This window comes from Homo sapiens, chromosome 1, assembly GCF_000001405.40.
Source record: "Homo sapiens chromosome 1, GRCh38.p14 Primary Assembly".
NCBI lineage: Eukaryota > Metazoa > Chordata > Mammalia > Primates > Hominidae > Homo > Homo sapiens.
The window spans coordinates 171,976,974-171,994,051 of NC_000001.11; the positions used below are offsets into that span (position 1 = coordinate 171,976,974).

Genomic DNA, 17,078 nt, shown 5'->3' on the forward strand with positions numbered 1-17,078 from the left:
ATTTGAATTTTCATGACAAAGTCTCATCATTTTGCTTTTAATTACTCTATAGATTTTTATTTGGCAGATCATCTTATTTTTCATTATTAAAACAAGGACTGACATTTGCTGTCTCAGAATTAGTACATTCAATTATTCTTAAAAAACATTGGAATAACTCCTTATTCAGAAACTCTTTTTGATATTTTCAGTTTCTAAACTTAGCTGATTATCAAGAGGAAGCAAAAAAGAGCCTTGAGTACCCAACTGATATCACAAAGTCTTTGATGTAAATCTCATGCATTACAGGGTCCCAGCCTTATTCTGGCCTTTCCAGCCTTATTTTAAACTCAGACCATGCATACTGGGTTATTGGATTTCTCAGTCTAGAGTAAAATATAAAACCACAAGTGAGAATGGGAATATGGCTTAAAAACAGATGTGTTGCGAACAGCAAGAAGTGACAACTGTAAACTTGATAGCAAGGGAAGAGACACAAGGGGAGAAAAAAAGCATAAAATAGCACATAAAACACTTTTTAAGTAAACAAAGTAATCTATAGCCCCAAATCATTGAAATAATAAAAAGTGTTTAAATTTTCTATCCAATTGGAATTAGATAGAAATTGAGCATCTACTATACGGTTTCCTACATCCTTATAATTAACTTACCTTGCCCTTTCAACAGCTTTTGACATCAATTCTTTCTTGAAATTTACTCTATGTCTTTGGCTTATATGAAAAATATTCCTGGTTTTCCTTCTATCTCTTTGTTTACTCTTTCAGGCTCCCTTGCCAATGCATTATCTTCTATCTGGCCTTTAAGGTTGCATCTGCCCAAGGCTCCTTTTTGGTTGTCATTTCATATTCTTCTTTTGACAATCTCTTCCACACGGTGGCTTCAATTACAACCTGAACATTACAACTCTCACATGTATAGTTCCTGGGCTAAACTCCAGACTCATTTTTAACTGACTGTTTGAAACTCTACTTGGATATTTCAAATGTATTTCAAGCTCAGCATGTCAAAAGCCATATTTATAATCATTTTTTTTCCCTTATCCACAAACCTCAAGCCTCCTCCAAGGTTTATTTGTTGATTCCTTCAGTCATCTACTCATTCATTTATTTATTCATCAATTCTACAAATATGCAACTGGTTTAGTTACTGGAAATACAGCAGGGGTAAGACAGATAATGCTCCTGTTCTCATGGTGCTTATATGCCAGTGGATGAAGACAGACAATAAAAAACAAATACGAAAAACTTCAGACAGTGACCATGTGCACCGAAGAAAAAAACTGGGCAATGTAATAGGATGTGATTAAGAGATGCTACTTACTTTGTCCAGTCAGGGAAACCTCTCTAAAGAGATGATATTTTGGATGAGGAAATGACAGGAAGGAGCCACACATGCAGAGATCAGAGGGACAAACATTCCAGAAGAGGTGCAGCTTATAGAGAGGCCCTGAGGTAGGAAGGGACTTGGTGCTCTTGAGCTGCAGAAGGGAGGCCATTGCAAGCAGAGCGACTGAGTAGGTAGGATGGAGGTAGTGATAGAGATGGCACTGGAGGCAGATGGGTGGCAGACTGTATCGGACTTTGTAGAGTAGGCCAGGGTGAGGAATCTGGATTTTTCTAAATGTACTGGAAAACCAATAAAAGGCTTTAAACAGGGGAGAAGCATGATGTGATGTATGTTTTAAGGAGATCTTTCCAGCTACTGGGTGGAGAATGGATTCAATGGAGCAAGAGTGGAGTCAGAAAGACCAGTTAGGCTACTTTTATGGTAGTACAGGTTAGAGGTGGAGCAGGCTTAGAAGTAGCATGGCCATAGTGGAGGCAGTGAGACGGTGTTTGGAAGAGAGCTGAGGAAAGGAAGCTTTGAACAGGTATATTTTGAGATATCTATTAGACATCTGAGTGGAAATGTCAGTTAAGCATTAGAATTAGATATAGACAAATCTGGAATTCAAGGGAGAGGTGAATGTCTGAGATGTGAATTTAGAGGATATATATATAAAATTTTAAGGCAATGAGATTAGATGAGATCACTTAGAGAGAGAGGATAGAGATGAAAAAGAGGGTAAGAAGGTCTAGAAACAAGTCTGGTGTACTCCAATATTTAGAAGTGTAGAAGAGAAGGGAAGGAACAGTCAGCAAAGAACCATGGAGAAAGAGCAATCAGTGAAGATGGAGAACAATCAGAAGAGTGTTTCAGGGAAGAGGAGGACAATCGTGTCAGATGCTGCCAAGACATAGAATAATTATAATAATTATATAGTTTGCAACTTTTGGCCAAGTGCTCAGAATGCTTCTTTCCTGTTTTCTGTATTTGGAATATAGTTTATCTTTTATAAAAAAATTTTGTGGGTACATAGTAGGTAGATATACCCTAAAGAAAGGAAATGAGTATATTGAAGAGATATCTGCACTGCCATGTTTGTTGTAGCATGGTTCACAATAGCTAAGATTTGGAATATAGTTTATCTCTTGATTGTGTTTTACGTGGAAATAAACTATGAGTATAAAATAGAGTTGATTTTTGTTATACTCTTTGAGCTCCTTTGGAAAAAAATATAGAACTAAGTTGAGCTATGTAGGTATCAACAGCTGCTGGATTCTGATTGTTGTTTTGGATACTTGTGGTAGAATATTCTGTAAAAGTCCCCCATCTCTGGGTATTTCTGTAAGTGCTGGCCTTGGTCTTGTCCACCAGCACTATTCCAGTTACCTGGGGCCCCTTAACCTTCACCTCTTGGCTAAGCCTTATCCAGGCTTTAGAAGCAGAAGAAAACTGTAAAGGCTATTGTTCAGCAGTAAATTTCAAGATGGCATTAATATTAATCTCTCTTGACCCTGAATACTGTTCAACTGGCTTCGGCTTTGTATCTTGACAAAACAGCTCTGCCTTCCATTCCATGACTGAATTTGCATCTTGGTTTTCTGCCTAGTTTGCATTTGGAGTTTTGTTTTAATTTCCTACTTTGCCTTGAGAGTACCAGAGCCCTGATCTTAAACCCTGGTCTCTGTCTCCGGTCTGATACCTGCTTGGCACCAGCTTTTTGTCTTTTATGAAATCTTGGCACCCTCCACTTACTCCCATCTCACCCTATTGTTCTTAACTCTCCTACTGAGACCTCTAACTTTTACCCACTGCAGGACTCCCTGAGGTTAATTGTTTTCTTCTTTAGATTTCCTTTTTTTTTTTTTTGATTGCTAGACTTTCCCTGTTTATTTTAGCAATACAGTTGAGTTCTGTTTTATATCTGGGTCCTATGTAATTAATATATAACTAAACTAAAATTCTAGGATCTTGCCTTCAATTTGGAATGACTTGATGGGAGCATTTAGAAATTACTATTTTTAATTAACACATAATAATTGTACATATTTATGGAGTACAGTATGATATTTCAGTATATATATACCATGTGTAATGATCAAATTAGGGTAGTCAGCATATCCATCACTTCAGACATTTAGCATTTCTTAGTGTTGGGAACATTCAAAATCCTCTCATCTAGCTATTTGAAAATATACAATTTATTATTCTTAACTGTAGTTCCCCTTCAGTGCTACAGAACTCTGGAAGTTACTACTCCTATCTAGCTGTACTTTTGTATCTGCTCCCCAACCTCTCCCTATCTCCTTTGCCTCCCAACACTTCTCAGTCTCTAGTAACCACTATTCTACTCTCTAATTCTATGAGATCAACTTTTTTAGCTTTCATATGTGAGTAAGAACATGGAGTATTTATTGGAAGCATTGTTATATCCAAAGTATTCTGCTTTAAAGAAGAAAGAAATCTACAGATTTTTTTTTTTTTTTTTTTTTGAGACAGAGTCTCACTCTGTCACTCAGGCTGGAGTGCAGTGACATGATCTAGGCTCACTGCAACCTCCACGTCTCAGATTCAGGTGATTCTCCTGCCTCAGCCTCCTGAGTAGCTGGGATAACAGGCACCTGCTATCACACCTGGCTAATTTTTGTATTTTTCATAGAGACAGGGTGTCACCAAGTTGGCCAGTCTGGTCTCGAACTCCTGACCTCAGGTGATCCACCCGCCTCAGCCTCAGTGGTGGGATTATAGGCGTGAGCCACCGTGCCCGGCCTACAGATGTTCTTTACTCTAAATATAATAGGCATTAGGGAAACACAGAAGAGTAAAATGTATCTCTGCCTTTGAGGAAATATGTTTTTAAATATAGTCATACATAGATGCTTTATACAGCCAGTGAATTCAGCTTGTTGCACTGAAGACAGTCCCTTATGTATATGACCCCTGTACTCTGTTTTCACTGGAGCCCTGTGCTCACAAAACATTGCTATTAAAACATTTCAGAAATAAGAAAACTCCAGTTAAAATTTTGAGGAACCTTGATTCTTAGAATAAAGATGGACAAGAGATCATTTTTTCCTAGTGCTCTATAATAATTCCTTTCTACTTAACCTTGATTAATTAAGACATATACATATTTTTACTCATGGAAGGGGCATATTGGAAATATTTAAATTCTTACAGTCATGCTGTGCTTTTCACAGATGATTGGAACATTGCCCAGGCATAAATGCATCTCATCCTTCCCCCAAACAGTTTGTCAGTTGTTTAACCTAGCATAATTTGTTTTTCATGACCAGTAAAAATGACAGTGCTAAAATGTTTTAAAAGGAAATAAAAATAAAATAGAATTATAGCTCTGATTTTTTAAATATTCTCCTTTTTTCCTTCCTAATCATTCTTTGATATAGTAATGTATCTTAACCTTTGCTTCAATTGTAGGCTATTTTTAACATTGTAAAAACAGAAAATAATCAAAACTAGGAGTTTTATTTTGTGAAAATGAAAACAGAGAAATTTTATTTTGTGAAAATGAAATAAATTTCAATAAGACAGGTTATACTGCGACAAAATAAAATTTCACGGATGCGTTATCACGGTTTCAATGCTTATGTACACATAACCTTCATCCTTTGTATGACTTTGTGGCTAGGAGATTTAATGCACTGACTACTCACATTGATGCTGGGCTGAAGCCTCAAGTTGTTTGAGGAAAAGACCATTTCATGTGCCCAACTATGAAGCATTTAGAATGAAAGGAATACTGAGAACATGTCAAGAGAGCTCATGCCACTGGAAATTGTACCTTTCTGTAAGAAAGAATGTATCTCAAAACTATAAGATGAGATTGTGTAACCTTCAGACATGTTAGTTCACCATAGTATAAAACCGTGGTAAACTATGGTATACTATGGTTTACCATAGTATACTATAGTAGAAGACACACATTTAGCAGCTATTAAAAGATCCAGCTATTGATCAGCTAGTACAACTCGTTCTATAGAGTTTGACTTAGATGCTAGAATTTCCTTCATCCCCAAACTACAATTATCATCATAGAGACAAGAGGACACAGATCTATGAGTCTCTGGAGCTAGGTAGAAGACAGATTACAGGTAGCCCTTTCCTGAAAAGCCAGGTCAGCTTGTTTTGCTGAATTTTCCATCCTGTAGGTTGAATTCTTTTCCAGGAGGCTCTTTGGTTTCCGTAGAAAAAAGTACTTTGTGGTTCCTGCCCTATCGGTTTTCCAGATAGGCTGGGCAGGTCTGAACCCCAGTGATGGACATAGATTAGACCCAAATTGTCATCCCTGCTGTGATTACTCTGAGGTCACTCATTTAGGATCACTTTTTGCATGCATGTGTGTGTTTGTGTGTGTGTGTGTGTGTGTATAATGCATTTTGTATTTATACAGTATTATAGTAGTATATAAACTGTATAATAGTACTTATACAGTTTAACCAGTGAGATGGTTAAATGGTTAACAAGTAAACCACATAGTTAACCAGTAAAGATGTAAAATGACTTCAGACAAATATGATCAATCTCTACAGTCCCCTGATGAATTTCACAGGTTCCCACCACCATCAGTTCTACCTATTCATCTCATCCATGCTCATTGTTCTGCCTCTTTCCTGTTCCTATGGATGCCCTGGCATGTTTGTTTCTTTCTTTCTGGCCTCCTATTTCCCTCCCCTCAGACATCACTTCAGCATCTGTGCCTTCTCACTTCCCTTATCCTGGGTGTTACCATTTCAGCCTATGAGCATGCCATTAATTTGCCATCTTTACAAAATTCTCTCTTGACTTCACATCCCTCTGTAGCTGCCCTCTCCCTTCTCTCCTCTTCTTTACAACAAAACTCCTTAAAAGAACTGTTGGCTGGGCACAGTGGTTCACTCCTATAATCCCAGCACTTTCAGAAGCCAAGGTGGGAACATCACTTGAGGCCAAGAGGTCGAGACCAGCCCAGGCAACACAGTGAGACCTCATCACTACAAAAAATAAATAAAAATTAGCCAGATGTGGTGGCACACTGCCTGTAGTCCCAGCTACTCAGGAGGCTAGGGTGGGAGGATCACTTGAGCCCAGGAGGTTGAGGCTGCCTTAAACCTCCTCCTGAAGGATCCTCAAGTTGCCAAATTCTAAGATCCATTCTTAGTCCTCATGTTACTGGACATGTTGGCAGGGTTTGATGGACGTCTCCTCTTTTCTTGGCTTTGTTTTCCCCTTACTGTTTTCTCCTACCTTCTAAGTCTCCATCTCCTGACCTCTAAACTTTGGAAAACCCAGGGCCTGGTACTCTGACCTCTTCCCTGTCTAACTCTTGCTTAGTGATCTCATCACTTACCTGACTTGAATGACTACCAAATATATATCTCTCACTTGGACTTCTCCATGAACAAAAGATGCATATATCTAGCCGTGAAGATATTTTTGTACAAATTAGAAAAAGCTGCCCTTTCCTCAAGCACATGACTGCCATCTTCTGGAAATTTTTCAGAGTAGAGACACCTATCCAAAGACTGAATATGAATGGTGTCTCCTTCAGCTGTGTGGTCCTCAACCTTAGTAGCAGTGCTTTTTCTCAACTTGGATGGGTGTGTCATGGCCATCACAAGCTTAGTAGGTCCCAACCCACATCCCATCCCATCCCATCCCTTCTCATCCTCTTCCCTTCAGTCTTTTTCTATTTCAAACTTTTTCTGGTGGCTTAGGTCAAACCCTTTGAAGTTATCCTTGATGCTTCTCTTTCTCTCATATCGCAGCTTAAATCCATCAGCAAATTCTGTTGCTTTTTCTTTCAAAATACATTAGAATTTAACCACTCATCACCACCCCACTGTTGCCACCCTGGTCTAAGCCTCAGCAGCTCTCCCCGGGATGATTTCAATAGTAAGCTTCCTTTCTTGCTCATCATTGTCTGTCCTCAACACAGCATCCACAGTTGTTTCAAACCTAGGTCACAGCATGTTTCTACTCTACCCCAAATCCTTCAGATGGTCTGCCATCTCACTCAGCGAAAAATCAAAGTCCTTAAAATGGTCCACGGGCCCTCCACATCCAGGCCTGTCCACAGCACTGGCCTTGTTTCCCACCTCCCTCCCCTCCACACCGCCCGGTGCTCCAGCCACGTGGACCTGGCTGTCCCTCAACATGCCGAACACACATCTGCTTTAGGCACTCTGCCCGGATGCCCTTCCATACAGCATGGCCTGCTGCCTTCCTTTCTTGAGTCATTGCTCAAAGGTCACTTTACCCTGTCATGGAAGCCTTCCTTATCTATACCACATAACCAAGCAACCCCTTTCCCAGAGCATTTGCTATCCCCCTGCTATTTTATTTTCTCCATAGCACTTAGCATCACACACACACATATTGTTTACTCTTTTACCTGATTAGAATTTAAGCTTCGTGAGCCTAGAGACTTATTTTCCCCCCTTAATTATATCCCAATTTCTAAAACAGTTCTTGGCAAGTAGAGTGATCTCAATAAATATTAATCAAATAAATAAATGAATACAGGAATCCTTGAATCTGTCTGGGGGACACTATTCTCAACAAGACACTGCAAATTGACCAAGGGGTTGACAAAATAAATAAAAATACACAAAGGTTTGAGATGGTCCTGAACAATTATCATCTCTTGATTCCAAGATAAAAGTATTTTCAAGAGTTTGAGAACTCATTTAAATCTAATTTGAAAATTGCATTGATTTTACACCCTTCCGGAAGGGCATGTTTCCTGCAGAGAAAGCAAGTAGGTGCCATCTAGTGGCAACAAAGGAGATCCACATTTGTGTTAACTGGAATGTATCGATTAGCAGTGATTGAAAATGTAGTTCCTGATCCAGAAGCTTATGAACTCTATGACAGAACAGTTGTGATAGCCATAAGTCTTGAAGGGTGCATTTTCCATGGAATATATGGCATTGAAAAAAACACAGTTCCATTTCTTCTAAATTATTTCTAATTTTTCCTTTTAATTTTTGCTTGTTTTCTGGGATTTGACTTCTTTTGTTCTTTTGTTTTTCGTATTGTTTTGTCCTCTACTTATCTATATACTCTTACATTCACATGGTACTGGCCTAGGCTTTGAATGGGTAATAAAATAAAGGCTCTATCTTCTGGGAATTTATATTCTAATAAAGACAGTGCCTATGAGGGTAAGTATAGAAGAACATGCCTTATCTTGATGAACTGATCTCTTCAGGCCAGATTTCTGCAGCCTGTTGAGGCTTTACTGTTGGATATACTTCCAGCATTAGAGGAATGAGCTTTCGGGAGACTTAGCTTGCTGTTTTTCAGAAAGTGGCACATTATATGGAGAAACTAAGATAGAAAGAGAAATACTCATGTCCATGCATGTTGTCAGGAAAGACAGAAATTAAATCCGTCTCTGATTCTCATTCTAACATCCAAAAAGCTAGGTCATTTCAATTCTTTGGTAAATTAAAGTAGAAACTTTTTGGTCCACTTTGGGAGCTTGTGACCTTTCCAGCCAGAGTGGCTGGGGTTGGTACTGGGAAATCTTTGCCACCAGAGGGCCTGAGTGGTGATGTGACAAAGCAAGATAAGGGTGTGAGGCCCAGGAAGGAGACAAACTTAGGGTGCTGACACTCACATTAATGCACACGGCCTTTTCACAGCTGAGTAGCACCAGAGGACAAAAGTTGGACTAGTGGAATATGACAAGAAAGCAGGTTTCATACCAAACATAAATATTTTCCAATCAGAGCTTTTTCCAATGAGATCAAAGTTTCTGTTACCCAATAGTGGATGGGTCCGAGCAGAGACTGGATGACAACCTGCCAGATTTGTTGAACCTATGAAGGTTCTCTGATTCTCTGGAAGACCTCTTTCTCCCTGCACATGTAAAAATCCTCCCTACTGTTCAGTATTCAGTCCATACCCCACTTCCTTTTTTGGGTACCACAGCTTAAAATCATCTTTTCTATCTCTACCTTTCTTATCATTTTAAGAGCAGGTTAGCATTTACATTATGCTACCTGCATTAATGTTTTTTCTCAGTGGTCTAATCCTTAGCTTTTTGAGTTAATGCTAACCTGCTTGAAGACACGGACCACATCTGAGCTAAGTGACAAATGATTCTGTATTGTTATCTTTTAGCATTGAAGGTGTATGTAAGACTCTTTTATCCTTTCCACACAGTGTTAAATCTAACCCTTGTTGATCTACCTGCAGTAACTAAAGTGCCCGTGGGAGATCAGCCACAATAGCTCTCTTGCTATTGACCTTGCCATTTCATCTTCAAGAGTGAATATTAAATGTTTATGATGGGTAATGGTAGTAAAGCTACCAATAATTGCCACATCTGGCTTTTTTTTTTTTTTTGAGATGGGGTCTCACTTTCTTGCCCAGGCTGGAGTGCAGTGGCATGATCACAGCTCACTGCAGCCTCGACCTCACAGGCTCTTATCTGGCATTTGGGTCCAAGATGCTTAGGCATAGTCTAAGTTTAGTTGTACAATTCTTCATTGAGATATTAGATAAACTAAAATCTTTGTGGAGATTTGTTTCTTTGTTAGATTTATACTCATTTAAAAAATCTAATAGTACTGTACTAGCTTTTCTTTTAAATTGTGGTGTTTTTTACATACCTGATTTCTCTCAAAGTAGGTACAGAAATTGATAATACACCAGCTTGTAGGATGTTACTGAAAATTTAAAAACCCAGTTTTGTTATTTATGTAGTTATTTTAGTGTTTTTCCCTCTGCTGAGGGATTTTTTTAAAATTTTACATTACAGGTAAATATTTGCTTTGATATAATACTCTATAACTTTTTTCCTTGAGAAATTGTCTTTGTATAAGTTGATGTGGTATTTTCAATAGTGTGTTTTTAAGCTAAAGGATTCCATATATTATTTATTTTTAACAAATTAAATGATTTCCCTTAACTTATTTTGCCTTCTGAAGATATATTTATATAACTTGGCATTCCATCCTGATGAAATGGTGATACTGAAGAGGGGAATGCTAACAGAACTCAGAGGTATCCCAGATCTAATGTCTTTAACAATCAGGTGCTGTTGTTTGCTTTATCATTTGGATAGCCAAAATTTTCTTTAAATTATTTAATAGGCTAGATGGTTTAGGGACTGGTTTTAGTATTTAATTGCTTATCTGAAAATTGGCAAATTTAGCATCTATAGCATTTGTACTATGTTTAATATTTCTAAAGTATTAATTGTGATTCTTAGTAACTACTGTGTTCTGTGGGATGTTCATGAAGGAAGAAGAGAGAATATTGGATACTTTGACTTATAATTAAAGAAACTTTTATAATTATGGCAAAAATGCATGAATTTAAGTTGTGTCATTTTGGTTTTATTTTTGTAGAATATGCCGAGTTTCTACATTGCAAAGGAAAGAAATTTACAGATTTTGATGAAGTTCGCCTTGAGATTGAAGCAGAAACAGATCGCGTGACTGGAATGAATAAAGGCATTTCCTCCATACCCATTAATTTACGAGTCTATTCCCCACACGGTAAGTAAAATAATAAAATTCCAAATTCTTCTCCTCAAACATTTATACTACATTAATTAACATACATCATTTGTACAGAAGATACAAATAGTGCTGGGTTTCTAGGGTATCCTTTGGATACTGCCCATTAATGTTATGGTTCAAAGAGCTCTTAAGACATTTAAGGAGAGGCAGTAGGAGATGACTTTAATAAAAACAGAATTGAGTTAGTCATCAAATTTTTTCTTCATTTTTATTATAAGCTTTTAGAATTTGAGAAGGGTATATATGAAAACTTCCATTTTTCAGTCTTTGCTGAAATCTTAGAGGTACATGTTACTATGGTTGCATCTTCCCCTATTGGATGTCTTGCAGCCATATATAGTCCTATTTATTTTCTTCCTGAGAAATCAGCTCTGACTTTTTCCCCCAGACTATCGGTAGAAACTTATAAATTAGATAACCAATCCATAATGTGTGATGGGAAATAACCTGTATGCTGACTAAATTTTTAGTGGGCAAATTTTCATTTCTTATTCCCTACTTAGCTCTATTGCTTTTAAAACAGAATATAAATGACATAAGCTCAATTATGACTTCCCAAGGGTACTTGGTGCCAACATTGTTTATATGGAGAGGTTGGGCTAGAGTCATGTTGTCACTGACTCTGTTTGTACAGCTGATTCAGTAAACCCAGGGCACCACGAATGGCTAACAGCTTTCTACTAGGCTAAGTGGTTAACTTTCTATTAAAAAAAAAAAATGATACTTTTTAAGGAAAGGGCAGTCTTACCCTGTGAGTTTTTATACCACTTGAAGGCAATGTATAAGACTGGCAGATAGCATATGCATTTCTCATTTGGTGTTTTAATTATAACCCCCTAGTTACAGATATGACAGCTTTCTGAGCAAACTGTTAGGCATGCAAATCAGTGCCTTTCAAATTATGTTAAAGTGATCATTTGGCATAGCACAATCATATCATAAAAATAGAGAAAACTAGCAAAACCATTTTTATTTTATGCTCTTTATTCTACACACATGGGTTGGAGTTGTTCAGATACACAAAGTAGAAGGCTGAGCTAAGTGACAAATGATTCTGTATTGTTATCTTTTAGCATTGAAGGTGTATGTAAGACTCCTTTATCCTTTCCACACAGTGTTAAATCTAACCCTTATTGATCTACCTGGAATAACTAAAGTGCCTGTGGGAGATCAGCCACCAGATATCGAGTATCAGATCAGAGAAATGATTATGCAGTTCATCACGAGGGAGAACTGTCTGATTTTAGCTGTTACTCCAGCCAACACTGATCTTGCAAACTCAGATGCGCTGAAGCTAGCTAAAGAAGTTGATCCTCAAGGTGAGTGTGTGACTACTAAGATGAGAAGGAATTAAAGTGTCAGGAGTTTTGGTATCTTTAAAGGTAACATAAATTCTTAAGATTTGGTTTCATTATAAATAAATTAGCCATTATTAATGTTGTTAAACCTTTTGTATTTTAAATAGAAAATTCAGTATTTAATATTAAAAAATAATAAATAATTTTAGTAAAGATTTACTAAAATAATGAAATTTATATAGTCAAAATCTATATAAATCTAAGAATAATGAGATCTAAGAAAACAGGCATTTCTAAGCCTCATGGGCTGCATATTTTAAAAAGTTGGTAAAATAAACTTCTGGTACAGCAGAATTCAGACAATCTACTAATTATTATGAGTTACCTGCATATGCTTCCAGTGAAAAACCTTTGTGTTTTTTACTTTGTCTTGTTTCTTTAAAATAGGAAGCTCTAATGCATGTAAGATATTATTTAGCTTATAATTATTTGAGAAAAAATGTACGTATAAGCAGGGATTTATTTGGTATTGTCATCTCAATATCCAGAAAAGGTCCTTTCTTATGCGTATGTTTAAACTTTTTACTTCTCTAAGTTGAATAACGACAGTTTATCTTCAGAGACCTCAGTGCTGGCCTTGGTGTGTGTCTGTTTAAAGTGATTGTGGAAGGGCATTCAATGATGTGCCCTTTCAATATGGAGATACATGTTCTTCAGTTCTAGGAATTTTTCTTTTTTGATAATTAATTGTCCCAATTTCTTTGTTCTTTTTATCTGTAGTTCTTATTAGCATGTTAGAACTCCTAAATGAATCCTTTATTTCAATCTTTCTCTTCTATAATCATTTCTTTGTCTTTTTGTTCTACTTTCTGCAAGATTTTATCAACTTTATCTTCTGCTCTTCTGATTCATTTTAGAGGTTCCAAAAGCATATTTTTACTTTGTGAATCTTATTTTTATTTTTTAAAATAGCATCATGTTCTTGTTTTCATAAATACAATATCTTCCTCCAAGGACTTTAGTGAGAGCTTTTTGAAGGTTTTCTTTTGTAATCTACATTGTCTGAATCTATTGTTTTCTGATTGTTTGTTTTTGTCTCTGTCTTTGATGTTAGAGACCTTTTTCAAATGTTTGTCGATCTTTTGCCGCTTGTTCGTGCATGAGAGTGGAGCACCAAAAAGCTGATTTATGTACATGACAGGGATTCATTGACCAGTGGGTTTTCCCATGGAGTAACTGTGCTGAGAGTTGACCATTTTGTTAGGAGACTTCCTCAACTGTTAGGTTCTATGAGTATTTTCTCCTGAGCTGGTCTGGTATAAGCCTGATGTCTAGTGTTCTTGGAGCCAAGAATTGGTGGGTCAGGGGATGGAGTGGGAGGAGGATGGTTCTCACTATTCAGTGTGTACACTTTTAATTAATTCCTCTGCTTTCATGATGGCATTCCTGAAATTCTTCTGGAGTCCAGAGTCCCTCTGGTTCAACCTCTTTTGAAGCAAGTCTTCAGTACTCTGCTGAGGTTGAGGAAGGGTAGCTATGTGGGTGTGTCCTCTAGGAGCCTTCAGCCAATTCTTTTATTTTCAGCTCTTCCTATACCCTAGCATTGGTTCTCCAATTCTTAGGCCTTTCCAGAATTCTGCAATGGTAACTGTTTTTTTCTTCTTGGTTTCCTCCACCATCCCTGAAACTGGGGCTTGTAACAAGCAGGTAGAGGCTCCAGATGACAAGTAAGGACCATCACCAGGACTCCCTTTACAGCGTCAGTGGCTTGGAAGAGTCAGATTATAAACTGGGACTGGAATCTAGTTATAAAAATGGTGCTGAACCATTCCTGTCTTACAGCCTTCTTTCCCATAGGAGATTGAGCCATGGTTGTCTGATTGGGACAGAGAGAGTCATACCATCAGTGAATTCTAGTGAGTTCAGCCCAGTCACATTCCTGAGGAGTCCACACGTAGTCCACGTAGAAAAAACAAACTCAGCTTCTCCTACTATATTCTCAAACACGCTTCTGACTCCAGATGTGTGGTGATTTCTCCCTACTGCAAACAAGCAATTAATTCTTTTCTGCAGCAGACATCAGCTAGGTATCCTCTGATTAAATTTTATTCTGATACTATTTACCTGGAAATAGCATCAGATCACACTGATTGAGGGTTCAGTCCCACAAGATGACCCCCACTTCTGATGCCAGTTACAAGATCCAGGTTGTTTACCCTGTGCTCTGACTGACTGGCTATAAATTGGGGTTTCTACAACCTTCTTCTTGTGTTCTATTAATTTGCTAGAGGGGCTCACAAAACTCGGAGAAACAGTTCTTTGTTATAAAGAATATTACAAGGGATACAGATGAAGAGATGCATAGGGCAATGTATGAGAAGCGATGTGGAGCTTCCATGTTCTCTCCGGGCACACCATCCTCTAGAAACCTCTGCATCTCCAGCTATCCAGAAGCTCTCCAAACCCAGCCCATTTTGGATTTTTATGGAAGCTTCATTATGTAGGCATGATTGATTAAATCATTAGCTATTGGTGATCAACTTAAACTTCAGCCCCTCATCCCTCCTAGGAGGTCATATCTGTTCTTTCTAGTGACCAGTCCACTTGCTGAAGCTATCCAGGAGCTGCCAGCCACTTACCAACCCATTAGCCTGCAAAAAGATACTTATCACTTTGAAGATTCCAAGGACTTTAGTAGTTGTGTGCTGGGGAATAGGGAAGAAGACTAAAAATGCGTACCGCAATATGACAATCCAGATGAAGCTTCATGGAGGACTGCAAATGATACCATTCAGTCCCTGATTTCTCTTTCGTCCTACCTTGGTTCAGCCTCTTTGAAATTGTTTCTTTTTTAAGATAAATTCTTTTCAAGGGTGACAAGATGGCTATAGATATCCTGTCTCACATCCTCACAACTTCCAATCTAGTAGAAGAAAAGCCATTGGAGAATATTTTATTTGTGTGTATTATGAATTTTATAATAAATGTAAACTAAAAAAATTGGCCAACTAATAAATCTTGTAAAGTGATTTCTTAAAATTGGTTTAACATATTCATGCTATATTTTACCCCTGTTGTGCACATAGGGAATATTAATGGGCAGTAACTACATCTCATTTCTCAGGCTTTTCAGAAGAAGATTCATTTATGACCTAAAATAAACTCATGTGATCACAGATCATTAGGTGAGAGCAATGAATGTTTGTGGAGGGAGTCATCAGTTTGCCAGAAAGGAATCAATATCCACAAAGTCATTCCCAGTATATTCGATGTGTTGTTATAGCGTAAGGAAAATATAGCATTGACTGTCAGTCAGGAGTATGTCATTTTATGCCACAAATCTACTCCAGAAAGTTAAATGAGATTAAAAAAAAACTATCATAGGCTTGGCTTATTTACAAACTCATTTTTATTAGGTGCCACTTAGAAATTGTCATGTAAATGTTCATGAACTTACCTAAAATAAATCTCCTTTTTTGTGGATCATTAGAACTGCTGCTCCACCATTTACAGACCTACTTGCCCCCAGTTTTTATATCCTATATATGGTGGTCCCAAGAGGAGACTTTTGAAAGTTTTGGTAGGAGTCATTACTGATGAGATAGAATTTATGTGTGCTATTTTGCCATTCTTTTTGTGTATGTCCTATGTCTTTTTGTTTCTCTATTTCTCTGCTACTATCTCCTTTTGTGTTAAATATTTATTTTCTAGTATATAATTTTAATTCCTTGGTCATTTATTTTACTTTTTTGTTATTTTCTTAGTGGTTGCCATAGGATTACAATTAACATCTTAATTTATAGCAATCTAGTTTGGATCAATACCAACTTAATTTCAATAATACACAGCATTTTGCTCCTATATAGCTCCACTCCCTCCCCTTCCTATGTGCTATTATTGTCATACAAATCACAACTTTTACATTACATGCCTATCAACACAGAAATATAATTATAGCTTTATATGATTATCTTTTAAATCAGATATGAGAAAAAAGAGTTACAAACAAAAATACATTTATATTGTCTATTATATTTAACTATGTAGTTAACTTTACTGGTGTTCTTCAGTTTTTCCTGGGTATTTGAGTTACTGTCCAGTGTCCTTTTTTTTCTGCCTGAAAGGCTCTCATTAGTATTTCTTGTAGGCTATGTCTGTCAGTAAGGGATTCTCTTGGTTTTTGTTTATCTTGGAATGTCTTAATTTCTCCTTAAATTTTGAAGGATAATTTTTACTTAAAGTTTTTTTCCTTTCATCAATTTGAGTATGTCATCCCACTACCATCTGACCTCCATGGTCAAAATTCAGCTGTCAATCTCATTGAGGATCCTTTGAACATGATTTTCTTCTCTCCTGCTGCTTTCAAGATTCTTTTTTTTTTTTTTTTGTCTTTTGGCAGTTTGATTATGATATCTGTAGGTACAGATCTTGTTGAGTTTATCCTACTTGGAGTTTGTTGACCTTCTTGGATGTGTAGATTAATGCTTTTTAAGTCAAATTTGATAAATTTTCAGCCATTATTTCTTCAACTATTCTTTCTTCCTCTTTCTCTCCTCTTCTCTTTCTGAGAATCACATTATGTGTATGTTGGTATGTATGTTGGTAAGATGTTTTCACCAATCTCTGAGACTTTGTTCATGTTTCTTCATTCTTTCTTTTGTCTTTCTTTTCCTTAGACTGGGAGGAACAATCTCAATTGATCTGTCTTCAAGTTTGCTGATTCTTTCTGCCTGTTCAGATCTGCTATTAAATCTCTATAGTGAATTTTTTTATTTCAGTTATTTTATCTCCAGATTTTCTATTTGGTTCTTTTAAAAAAAAATTTCTGTCTCCTTACTGATATTCTGTATTTGGTGAAACATTATTCTCATACATTCTTTTTGTTCTTTAGATTATTATTTTTTTTTAGTTTTTAAAACATATT

The 17,078-nt window shown here is 37.0% G+C and overlaps 1 protein-coding gene across 26 annotated transcripts in view, besides 1 other annotated feature; it reads left to right on the plus strand.

The window, feature by feature from the left end:
• Positions 1 to 17,078, plus strand: part of DNM3 (dynamin 3) — a 576,969-nt gene that overhangs the window by 135,476 nt on the left and 424,415 nt on the right. For all 26 annotated transcript variants that reach the window (NR_146559.2, XM_017000979.2, NM_001350206.2 and 23 more), the window contains exons 3-4: positions 10,683 to 10,832; positions 11,972 to 12,175. Coding sequence is in view for 25 of the 26 variants with exons in the window: in XM_017000979.2 (XP_016856468.1) it covers positions 10,683 to 10,832; positions 11,972 to 12,175 (354 nt within the window). In the remaining variant the exon portion in view is untranslated. The remainder of the gene's footprint in view (positions 1 to 10,682; positions 10,833 to 11,971; positions 12,176 to 17,078) is intronic.
• Positions 6,812 to 7,001: a silencer, noted in NCBI's record as "fragment chr1:171952925-171953114 (GRCh37/hg19 assembly coordinates)". NCBI's record gives its function as "represses an EF-1alpha promoter that drives an FKBP-Casp9 reporter gene in an ReSE screen in HepG2 liver carcinoma cells {active_cell/tissue: HepG2}" and the evidence as "EXISTENCE:reporter gene assay evidence [ECO:0000049][PMID:32094911]".